Here is a 12,248-nt window from a genome sequence, read left to right as displayed (position 1 = left end):
GAGGCAGAGGTTGCAGTGAGCCGAGATCCTGCCACTACACTCCAGCCTGGGCAACAGAGCAAGACTCTGTCTCAAAAAAAAAAAAATGTGAGTAAACTGTGTCAATAGACATTTCTCCAAACGACTATAGAAATGTCCACTAAGGGCATAAAAATATGTTTAGCACTTTTAGTCCATAGTGAAATGCAAATCTAAACCATCATGAGACATGCTTTATAATTTTTTTTTTTTTTTTTTGGTCGGGGTCTCTTGGTCTCCCGGCTCTGTAGCCCAGTTTGGAGTGTAGTGGTGTAATCACAGTTCACTGTAAGCTTGAACTCCTGGGCTCCAGGGATCTTCCTACCTCGGCCTCCCAAGTAGCTAGGACTACAGGCATAGGCCACCACACCCAGCTTATTATTATTTTTTTTAATTTTAGAGGCAGGCTGTCACCTTGTTGCCCAGGCTGGTCTAAAAATCCTGGCTTCAAGCAACTCTCTTACCTCAGCCTCTCAAAGTGCTGCGATTACAGGTATGAACCACCGTGTCTGTCCACACTTCACAAATCTTAAGGGCATATTCATCATTGAAAAAAGCTAGTTTGGGCCGGGTATGGTGGCTCATGCCTGTAATCCCAGCACTTTGTAAGTCTGAGATGGGTGGATCACCTGAAGTCAGGAGTTCAAGACCAGCCTGACCAACATGGAGAAACCCCGTCTCTACTAAAAATACAAAATTAGCTGGGCGTGGTGGTGTATGCCTATAATCCCAGCTACTGAGGAGGCTGAGGCAGCAGAATCACTTGAACCCGGGAGGTGGAGGTTGTGGTCAGCCGAGATCACGCCATTGCACTCCAGCCTGGACAACAAGAGCAAAACTCCATCTCAAAAAAGAAAAGAAAAAAGAAAAGAAAAAAGCTAGTTTGAAAAAACTATTTACTGTGTAATTCCATTTATACGACATTGTGAAAAGGTAAAATTATAGCAAATGAAAAAGATTAGTGGGTATGAGGAGCTTGGAACAGAAGAAGGCTCAATAAATAGGGGAAATGGGGAAGATTTTGTGAAGCCAAATTCTTCTCTATGATACTATAAGGATGTGTTAATAATCGTTTTTCAAATCATATAGAACTTAATATCACAAAGAGTAAACCTAAATGCATACATTGAATCATCATTAAATAAGGCATTACACATTACTTAGTATGTTTGGAGACCCCAGGGAGCAATTCAGACAAAATAATCTAACAGTATAAGAAATAACTTCACTGCAATGTGTAGACTAAAAGGGGACTGACTCCTTTTAGAAACTTAGTCAGTAAAGATAGATTCTAAGCCTAATGGCCAAAGGATTTGAATAAAAGCACTGTACTTCAGTTATTAAATTTATTTCCCATGGGAGTAGAGATGACCAATTCTGTAACCACTATGCATGTATTTTGAGACTCAATAATTAACTAAAGGAGGCCAACTTCCTCAGTTAGAGTGAGAGGTTAGGTAAAGTACTGGGAAAGGGGAGATATTACAGATTCATGTTTTCCTGGATTCCACTGATGTGAACCCAGGGACAGTAGAAATTCAGGTTTAACTTTATATAGATAAATGTGGATAAGTATGGAAATATTTACACATATATACATATGTGTAAGTTAGTATAAACATACATATTCTTTGCTATCAGCTGACAAAACCATATTATTTGCTGTCAAGTGATAAAGCTTCAAATCAGTAGATTCTTAGTAGAAATACGTATACCCATGGACGAGATCTTTGTTGCTAATACCATTCACCAAAAAAGGAGCTAAGATGCCCTAAATAAATGGTTAATACCAGACTTGGGCAGGGAATCACCACAATTAACCTGGAGCACCTTGTATTACCAGAAAGTAAGAAAAATCTAAGCAGCAACACAAACAATCAACCAACAAACCAGACAAACAAAATTGAATTGCAATGATGGAACTTTTTCAAAGTCATACAGGAACCAACTAAAAGACCTTTCAGTGGCCAAAACTTAAAAAAAATGAGCGCTGGAATAAATAAAGTAGGTATACGGTAAGAAAAATATCACGATTTAATGTAACAATCCATAAAAGTAAAATATTGAATAAATAAATAAATACTAAATTGAGGAAAATAGATAAATTGACCACAGTGAAGAAATACAAATGATATTTATAGAGGCTCTGCCTATTAGGAGGTAGTGCAAGTTTCTCTGTTTCTTAAGTGTGTGCTGTGCACAATGACTTTTGAAAAGCACAACTCTGAAAGAGGAAAAATGATTAATTTTACAAGAAAGAAACCTGACCAAAACTACAACATCCAGATAATAAAATTAACATTAACAGTGACAAAGCTCATTGAAAGGATACACACTTAAGAGTACTGTAATGAGAATGGCACTTTCCCTCTGTGGTCCTCCGTGCCAAAACCCACCCATCCAGGCTAATCATGAGAAAAGCAACAGAGACGTCCCAGATTAAGGGCAATGAGGTTATCAAAAACAAAGAAAGTCTTGAGAAACTGGCACAGGAAAAAGGAGCCTAAGGAGAGAGGATATCTCAATGTGATGTGGGATCCCAGATGGGAACCTGGAACAGAAATGGACATTAAGTGAAAAACTAAGGAATTCTGAATAAACTGTGGATATTAGTGAGGGATAAATGTGTAATATTGGTTTATTAATTGTGACAAAGGTGCCACAATAATGTATGAGATTAATAATCAGAAAAAACTGGGTTGGGTGTTTGTAAAGTCTCTGTATTCACTTTCTAACTGCTCTGTAAGCCCAAAACACTTCCAAAATTTAAAAAAGATTCTTACCCTTTTTTATAATTCACTGTGGAGCTCAATAAACAGAACACTATTAATGTTACCAATGCGCACAAATGTATTTCCCAAATTCTACTTTCTTCCTTACCCTGGTGAAGGCTACTATTATTTTGAATTACCTATTTTGCATTCTCTTATTTCCCCTTTTTTATTACGTTTGTTTATCTAAGTAATATAATATCCAGCTTTTCTTGTCTTCAAGGTTAGATAAATGTAAATGTCTAAATTAATCCATAACCCTAGTCAAATTATGAGAAACTATTTAGATACATATTGTGATACATCATGCAAAATACCTGACATTCTTTTTTTTTTTTTTTTTTTGAGATAGAGTCTCGCTCTGTCACCCAGGCTAGAGGGCAGTGGCGAAATCTCGGCTCACTGCAAGCTCCGCCTCCCGGGTTCACACCGTTCTCCTGCCTCAGCCTCCCGAGTAGCTGGGACTACAAGTGCCCGCCACCATGCCCAGCTATTTTTTTGTATTTTTAGTAGAGACGAGGTTTCACCATGTTAGCCAGGATGGTCTCCAACTCCTGACCTTGTGATCCACCCACCTCGGCCTCCCAAAGTGCTGGCATTACAGGTGTGAGCCACCGCACCTGGCCAATACCTGACATTCTTAAGTGGAGACTGAGAAACTTTTGCAGAATAAACAGGACCTGACGTGGCAGGTAGACCCAATGATGGTGCCCAAATATCTTGGCTTATACAACCTTGGGTACTAGTTCTTTGTTTCTGAGTGTGGACAAAAAGTGTGACTGGCATGTAAACGATAGAATACTGGAAAGTTGAAGACTTTAGTGATTATGACACAAATTGTGATTTCTGTCTTCCCTGCAAGCTCTCTCTCCCTTGGTGGTTTTGATGGAGTACTCTGCTCTGTGAGAGAAGCTCACACGGAAAGAAAACAAATGCAGCCTCTGGCCAATGGCCAGCAAGGAACCGGGGCCCTTGATCCAATAACCAGTCCAACAGTTTGCAGTTTACATTTACAACTAATCCAAGCTCCCTTTCAAATAAGAGTATATCATTTCTGAGGTAGTATGACTACTTGTAATAAGAGAATAATATGAATTCTTCCCTCTCATTCTTTGTATCATTGTTGTCATTCATTTTACCTATATATAAGCATATTTGCAAATATATTTATGTATATGAATTTGTATGTATGACATATATATAAGCATACCTAGTCAAATACACTGTTGATATCATTATTTTTAACAATATGGTATCCATTAGATCAATTAATGATATGAAAAATAAAAGTTTTTATTCCTAGGATTAAAAAAAGTAAAAAAAAAGCAAATATGACTGACATACTGATAAAGGAGAGAAAATTATATAAAATGCTCTATTAAAACCACAAAACACAGAAAACTAGTAGGTGACAAAAACTGGAACACAGACAAGTGTCAACTTTAAGATATTAATAAGTATGATCGATATTAATCTGTCTATATCACTATTCACTTTGAATGCCAATAGTCTAAATGAACCAATTAAAAGACAATGATTGTCAGAGTGAATGGGAAAAAAAATACAGTGCAACTATATGTTCTCTACAAGAAATGCACTTTAAATAAAGCACACATATAAATTAATGGATACCCTATTTATGCTGATGTGATTATTAATGTATTGCATGCCTGTATCAAAACATCTCAAGTAACCAATAAATACACGATGTAACCACAAAAACTAAAAATTTAAAGTTACAAAAGTAAATGCATAAAACAAAATATATCATGCTACCACTATTTGTAAGAAAGCAGGAATACCAATATTAATGTTGGAGATAACAGATTTTGAAGCAAGGAAGACTATCAGTGATAACCAAGTACTTCCCAGTTCTTGACATCCCTTGTCCGGAGAAGGAAGGACACATCACTGCATCACCTGAGCTTGTTCAGGAGCCACCCAGGCTGTTTTATTTTTGTTTTTTGTTTCTTTGAGATGGAGTCTAGCTCTGTCACCAGGCTGGAGTGCAGCGGTGCGATCTCAGCTCACTGCAAACTCCACCTCCCAGGTTCAAGCAATTCCCCTGCCTCAGCCTCTCAAGTAGCTGGGACTACAGGTGTGCACCGCCATGCCTGGGTAATTTTTTGTATTTTAGTAGAGACGGGGTTTCACCATGTTGGCCAGGATGGTCTCAATCTCCTGACCTTGTGATCTGCCCGCCTCAGCCTCCCAAAATGCTGGGATTACAGATGTGAGTCCCCGTGCCTGGCTCACTCAGGGCTGTTTGTTAAGGTTCCCACCTCCATAAGCTGTGTACAGTAAAAAATAAAGTCCCTAAGTCTCCAGAAAGCAAGAAAGGAAAAAGAGAGGACATACCAAAAAATACTGAGAATGTACTAAAAATGTTGCCATAAGTGATAATGGGAGTATTGACTCAAGACTCACAAAATAATAGAGACAGCAGTGCAACACCAATGTTCTAATTTTCTAAACACACCTGTTTATTCAAAGTTAAGTTGGGGGCTGGGCATGGTGGCTCATACCTGTAATCTCAGCACTTTGGGAAGCCAAGATAGGAGAAGCACTTGAGCCCAGGAGCTCAACATCAGCATGGGCAACACAGTGAGACCTCATCTGTACAAAATGTTTTAAAAAATTAGCCAGGTGTGGTGGCACACACCTATAGTCCAAGCTACTTACTAGGCTGAGGTGGGATGATCACTGGAGCCTACAAGGTCAAGGCTGCATTGAGCCATGATCGTGCCAGTGCACTCCAGCCTGCGCAACAAAGTGAGACCGTGTCTCAAAACAAAAACAAAAAGTTAAGCTGGGCATACTGGTATAGGTAGAAGGCATGCAGATTTTTAACTTTTCTCATGAATCATTACAGAATAGCCAAGTGATTAAGAGAAAAGGCACTGGAATAAAACTTCTTGGGTTCAATGAAGTCTCTTACTAAGTGTGGTATTTGCACAAAGATAGAGAAATGAACGAATGAAGAAAGAAAAGAGAGCTCAAAACAAATCAATGCATATGCAAGTAAATAATAAGAAAGATCAATGGGGAAAAGATGAATTTTTCTATAAATGTTCTAAGAAATTGAATATACATTGGTGCTGAATAAAAATCTGTCTTTTGAGCTCACTTTACTATTACTCTAAATATCAATTCCAGGTGTATCACAGATTTAAATATAAAATTAATTTAATATAATACTTAGAACATAATTTAAGACAATAATTTCACAATATGGGGCAGTGTATTATTTCTAAAACTAGACTTAGGATACATCTTCCATATAAGAGAAAAAACATATTCTAACATCCTTGTGAGCAAGGACTCTGGAGACAGATTGACTCAAACTCAGGACCTTCTATTAATATTTCTTTCTTGGCCGGGCACAGTGGCTCACGCCTGTAATCCCAGCACTTTGGGAGACCGAGGCAGGTGGATTATCTGAGATCAGGAGTTCTCAACCAGCCTGGCCAACATGGTGAAACCCCATCTCTACTAAAAATACAAAAATTAGCCGGGTGTGTTGGTGCGTGCCTGTAGTCCCAGCTACTCGGGAGGCTGAGGCAGGAGAATCACTTGAACCCAGGAGGCAGAGGTTGAAGTGAGCCAATATCGTGACACTGCACTCCAGCCTGAGTGACAGAGTGAGACTCCGTCTCAAAAAAAAAAAAAATGTATGCACATAACAAAAATGGGTCAAACTGCAAGGAGAAACAGATGAATTCACTATTATTGTTGGAGACTTCAACACCTTCTATTAAAAACAGACAGATCCGGCCGGGCGCAGTAGCCTCATGCCTGTAATCCCAGTACTTTAGGAGGCTGAGGTGGGCGGATCACGAGGTCAGGATTTCAAGAGCAGCCTGACCAACATGGTGAAACCCAATCTCTACTAAAAATACAAAAATTAGCTGGGTGTGGTGGCAGGCACCTGTAATCCCAGCTACTTGGGAGGCTGAGTCAGGAGAATCACTTGAACCTGGCAGACAGAGGTTGCAGTGAGCCAAGATCTCGCCATTGCACTCCAGCCTGGATGACAGAGCGAGACTCCGTCTCAAAAAAAAAAAAAGAAATAATAACAATAATAATAAATTTTTTTTAAAAAAGGACAGATCCAGCAGGCAGCAAACAAGTACACAGTTGAACTAAACAACACCATCAGTCAACTGGGGATAATTGATATCTACAAACTACTTTGTCCAACAAATGCAGATTACACATTCTTCTCAAGACCACATGGAACATTCACCAAGACAGACCACATTCTTGGTCATAAAAGATACTTTAACAATTTTTTTGGGGACAGAGTCTTGCTCTGTTGCCCAGGCTGAAGTGCAGTAGCACAATCTTGACTCACTGCAACCTCTGCCTCCCTGGTTTAAGTGATTTTCCTGCCTCAGTCTCTGAGTAGCTGGGATTACAGGTGCACGCCACCATACCTCGCTAATTTTTGTATTTTTAGTAGAGACAGGGTTTCACCACGTTGACCAGCCTGGTCTAGAACTCCTGAACTCAAGTGATCCACCAGCCTCAACATCCCAAAGTGCTGGGATTACAGGCGTGAGCCACCATGCCCGGCCTGAATAAATTTAAGAAAATAGAAATCATGAAACATCTATTCTCAGACCACAGTTAATTTAAAGTTGAGATCAATACTGGGTGTCAACAGGGAAGTTGGAAATTACACAGACAGTGGTGCCTCTTGTATTAGGAAATGTTTCACTCGTATCACTCTTCATTCCACAGAGTGATGTTAAGATATACATGACTCTGGATCAAGATCTGATTCAGAAAAATTAGAATATCATTGTATCCTTAGAAATTCATTGACAAATTAATTTCAACATGTTTTCATTTTTATGTAAATAAAAGCTACATCTTACCAATTCTGAAGGGCTTTTTCAATGAGTATAAAATAAGGCTATTATGAGTCAAATATTATAATTGACAGAGACAGTATATTTTTTTAGAGATATTATCCATTTTAAATGTTTGATTCACTGACTTCTAGTGGATGTCCCCTATGGAAACTTCTACAGATACTGTACATAGGCCAATTCTGACCTTCTCTTTAGCATTACAAATGCCAATAAAATTATCTATCTCTCTGTGAGTTTAGCTTACATTGGTCTTTATTCTCCTTTACACTGTGAACAAGAAGCATATAGCCAGGGATGGAGTGATCATCGAGAATTTGCAGGAGGAATGAATCAAGATGTTATGGAAAAACTAATAGGAACTGGACATGCCTTATCACACATAAATAAAAAAATGGACAAAGAATATGAAACTTTTTTAAAGTACTGTACACCAAATGATGGAGAACAATGATACCTGGAAATACACAACAATGATGTGAGTGAAGCCTACTATTGCCCAAGTTTACTGCTTTGAGAGTTTCCCAGCTGTGATGTTGTAAGGACCTTGGCAGGCTTTCCGAGTTGAGAAGATGGAACTGAGAGCATAGAAGAGCGAGGTGGCCTGACTTCATCAAGCCATCATGTCCAGTGGTAAGAACAGAAGAGAGAAGTCACACCAGCGTTCATGAGGCAGGGTATCCCTGTGTCATCATTACTTCACCAAAACATGGGTCACAGAACTAAAGGAGCAGTACAGAAGAAAAAGTGAGAAACAAGTAAAATTCATTTAAATAAACTTGGCCTTCAATGCTTTCATCTTATTCCTAACTTCAAAAAGAAATGACCCAGCCATCTTGCAATAAGCCCAAGCGATGAAGGGGATGCCCCATCAGAGCTGAAGGAAATGATGCCTATAAGCAGGTAAAACCTCCCCACCTGGACCCTAACCTGCCTTTCCTATGATGTCTTATGTTTGCTGATAAGATTACCATAATGGAATAACTCAAATAGAGCTTTCTATTTATAAGAGACTTATAACCATCCTTTTGATGGTTGCCATCAAAAGGAGAAACCAGTAAGGCTTACCTTCTCTATTTGTTTCCTCAGAATACTTCCAGTTTCCTTTAAGTTGGAATCATCTTGTCTCCATTCTTCTCTAAATAAATGCCACAGTCAAAACAGTATGCATAGAATATAGGGTTGCTATTTATATTCAGTAAAATTAAAATTAATGATGTCAGGCTCTAATTCAATAATAGAGTGAAGATGACAGGCCATTTTTTTTAAACTAAGATCTGGACTTTAAATTCCCTGGATACAGTACCGACCTCAGAGCCCCTGACTGAAGTCTTACCTGGCAAAACAAACACCAAGTTATAATAATATTTTATAAATAATAATTTGGAGTAACCAAAAAGTATCAGTGTTCTTGCTCTGTAGGTTGCTAACACCTCATAAATCCTGAACAGATCCTTCCAGAATAGTTTGTACACCATTAGATGGAGGACTCATTACTTGCATAGCAGACATATGCCGTTGAGTCTCTAAGATACTCATCCTCTAGGAATGCTCACTCACAAGAAAATGTGTTCCTCTCAACACAGTCTTGCTGACATTAGAGATTTCCACATTGCAGTCACTAAATAGATTGTACTCTGCTTATTGAAGCCCTGAATTGTTTCTGTCCTCTTGTTGCTTTTGTGTCTCTTCACAGTTTCAGGTTCAATAATCCCTTCTTTACTAGTCAGGATAACCAGCTTTCTCTTCATATGCAAAGTACATTAGAAGAGAGTCAGAGCTTCAGACAAAAACAACAGACATCAAAAGATCAGATCAGAAATAGAAAGATGGGCAACTTATTGTCAATAAAAATGGTAATCCGAAAAAGAAACATGCATGAAAACCTCTTTGAAACATGCTATGTGATAAAACAAAATAAGTACTTATTGTAATTATATTTCTACAAGACCGTAATCTAAAAATATTTGCTGCCTGGAGACGCATTTGCCAATTTTCTGAGTGGCATTTTTTATTTAACTGAAAACAATTTTCGTATTTACTCATCAAAGAGAATTTATATCTGTTTTATGAGCCATCTGTTCAAGGAAATGCCATGCACACATTTACAAAAATGAGGAGCAAGCAATTGAGGACTTTAGCCAATGTTTATAGCTTTTGGGTAAGATGAAAAGCTGACAATATGATGAAATTCATGCTTACACAGCAACAACGTGGCAGGTCTGTGCATTCAGAAAGGTGGTCTCGGAGTTCATTCATACAAGTTAAAGCCTTTGTGAACATCTGACAATCAGAGAAAATTCATCTGTGCAATAAAAACATTCAGAGCTCTTTTTAAGCAGGAGACTGAGCAGACTTTTCCTGTGACTCCCAGTAAAGTCTCTGTCCCTCACCTTTCCAACCAGAGGTATTACAGAGGAAATTTCTGGAAAATCCTCAGAGAATGTATAATATATGTCTTTAAAATAATAAAAGCGATATTATCTTTTAATATAGTGAAGAGTGATACCTGAAAACATGGAAATAATTGAAACGATTATTTGAAACCTAATGAAAAAAAATGAATGCATGCATTTTAAATCACAAGTATGAAAGGCCTTAATATAGAAAACAGAATGTGGATTTGCTTGTAGATGATGTTTATGTTACGAATAAAATGAAAATTTATACAAAAGTTTTAAAAACATTCGTGAGCGCCTCTCTGCCCACCCACCCCCACCTAAAAAAAGCAAAAGCACATATTACCAAGCAAGGCCCTAAGGGGTAACGAGTCCTGTCTTTGGTCAACAGGCAAAATCACTGTTGAACAAACTTGTTCTTTATATGAAAACAAGTTATTACCTCCACTGACTCCTGAGGAAAGGCAGGGAGCAGCTGCCCTTGCCGGTGCAGACCCCACAGAGAGGATCTGAGCTCCGCTGCACCAGCTGCTGCCGGCATCGGTGGGCGTGGTCTGGAGGAAGCAACCCACCACCCTTGGCGTGTCTGCGCCCGCGCACAAGGTACTGGGGTTGTCTGTGCAGGTTCCTACCACTGCTGGCTGTTGCTAGGGGAGTAGAAAGTCACTGAGTATCCTAAAAGCAGGGAAAGAAAATCAGGAGTCCTGACAGCAAATGGAATTCACTGAGAACGTTAAACACACGCACACACAATAAAGCAGAAAGTATCTCGGGAGAATTGCCTAAGATTCACAAGGACATTAGAGACATTAGTGTCGACATTAATCTTGAAAGTTCTAACCTCCGCTTCCTTCAAGATACAGCTGGGAATCCTGGTGTAGGTGTAAGGTGTGCAAATTTTCACCCTTCTTTTACTTCATTATAGAACAGTACAGTGGACAACAGAAAGGGCACTGGAGGAAAATTCTTGCATTAAATGAAGGGACTAACTCAGTATTTGCACAAAGATGGAGAATATCAATGGAAAAAAATTAAAGAGAGCTTAAAAACGAACACATGCATATATAGGCAAATAATATATAAGATAAATTAGTGGGGAAATAAATTTTCAATAAATGTAGGGATGTGAATATGCGTCATTGGAAATAAAATCTACCGTCTCACATTACACACATAACCTATTCCAAATGGATCACAGACCTAAATATAAAAACAATTTAATACATTATTTAGAACTTAAAAAGATAGCTTCATGACTGTGGTGAAGAGTAACAATTCTTAAACTAAACCTATAAAGTATTTACTATATAAGATAAAAGATACTCTAACATATTTGATGTGAGCAAGCATTCTGGAAACAGGCTGAGTCAAGCTCAGGTTTTTCTGTTTATTTCTTGTAGGACTTGGGCTTAGATTCAGAATTGGATCACGGGAGTGGTGTTACTGTCTCCCTCCTGAGATGCTGTGAAGATTGAATGAATTAATAATACATCAAGCATGTAGAATAATACCAGGTGTATACAAACCACTGAATGATCATTTGTTAATACTAAAAGCATTTTCTAAAAATTGTATGATGTATCAATCACATCAATTGTAAAATACATCATTATTTTACTGATCACAAAGAATAAAATCACTGACAAACTATGACTCGGATAATACTTATCATTTATAATATGTTATAAATATTGAGAAAACTTTTTATAATTTGTAAAAATATGGATATTTGTTTCAGATTACTTCCATGATTATGTGGGATGGAAAAAAAAAGTTAAGTACAATATATCCACAAAGATATTTCTAAATTTCTCTCATTTGGGTAAAACTCTTCTACGTAACTTTGCAGCTCATCCTCTCCATGACCTTCCCCATATTATCATCATCTGTGTCAATCAGCAGCTTTGGCTATGCCACATTTCTTGTGAGATTCCTAAGTCACTCTCCAGGAGATTATCTTTCCAACCTCCTGACAGCCACTCTGCAGGTTTTGAAGCTGATGATAGCATCATAAGATGTCAATGAAAGGTTTTAGATAAAGTTCATGCATGTTCACATGAGGACAAACACATTATGACTGCCTCCTGGCTAATCCTATTTGACACTATGCATTTTAAGATGCATTTATATTTGAAAGATGTGAAAACATGCACTCTAGCATTAATAGAACACACTATTTTTCCCTC

General features: G+C 38.1%; 1 long non-coding RNA gene across 2 annotated transcripts; it reads right to left on the bottom strand.

Moving 5' to 3' along the window:
* Positions 1 to 7,900: 7,900 nt before the first annotated feature.
* LOC124903447 (uncharacterized) lies at positions 7,901 to 10,618 on the bottom strand. Of its 2 annotated transcripts, XR_007064534.1 has the most exons (3): positions 10,505 to 10,618; positions 8,732 to 9,968; positions 7,901 to 8,385 (listed from the first exon to the last, which is right to left on the bottom strand). It is a non-coding gene; the product is annotated as an uncharacterized LOC124903447 (long non-coding RNA). The 2 variants fall into 2 exon arrangements; XR_007064533.1 differs by lacking the exon at positions 10,505 to 10,618 and having other exon boundaries at positions 8,732 to 10,498.
* Between the last annotated feature and the right edge of the window lie 1,630 nt (positions 10,619 to 12,248).

Source organism: Homo sapiens, chromosome 15, assembly GCF_000001405.40.
Source record: "Homo sapiens chromosome 15, GRCh38.p14 Primary Assembly".
Taxonomy (NCBI): domain Eukaryota; kingdom Metazoa; phylum Chordata; class Mammalia; order Primates; family Hominidae; genus Homo; species Homo sapiens.
Note: the sequence above shows the minus strand (reverse complement) of the source record. Positions and strands in the feature narration are given on the sequence as shown.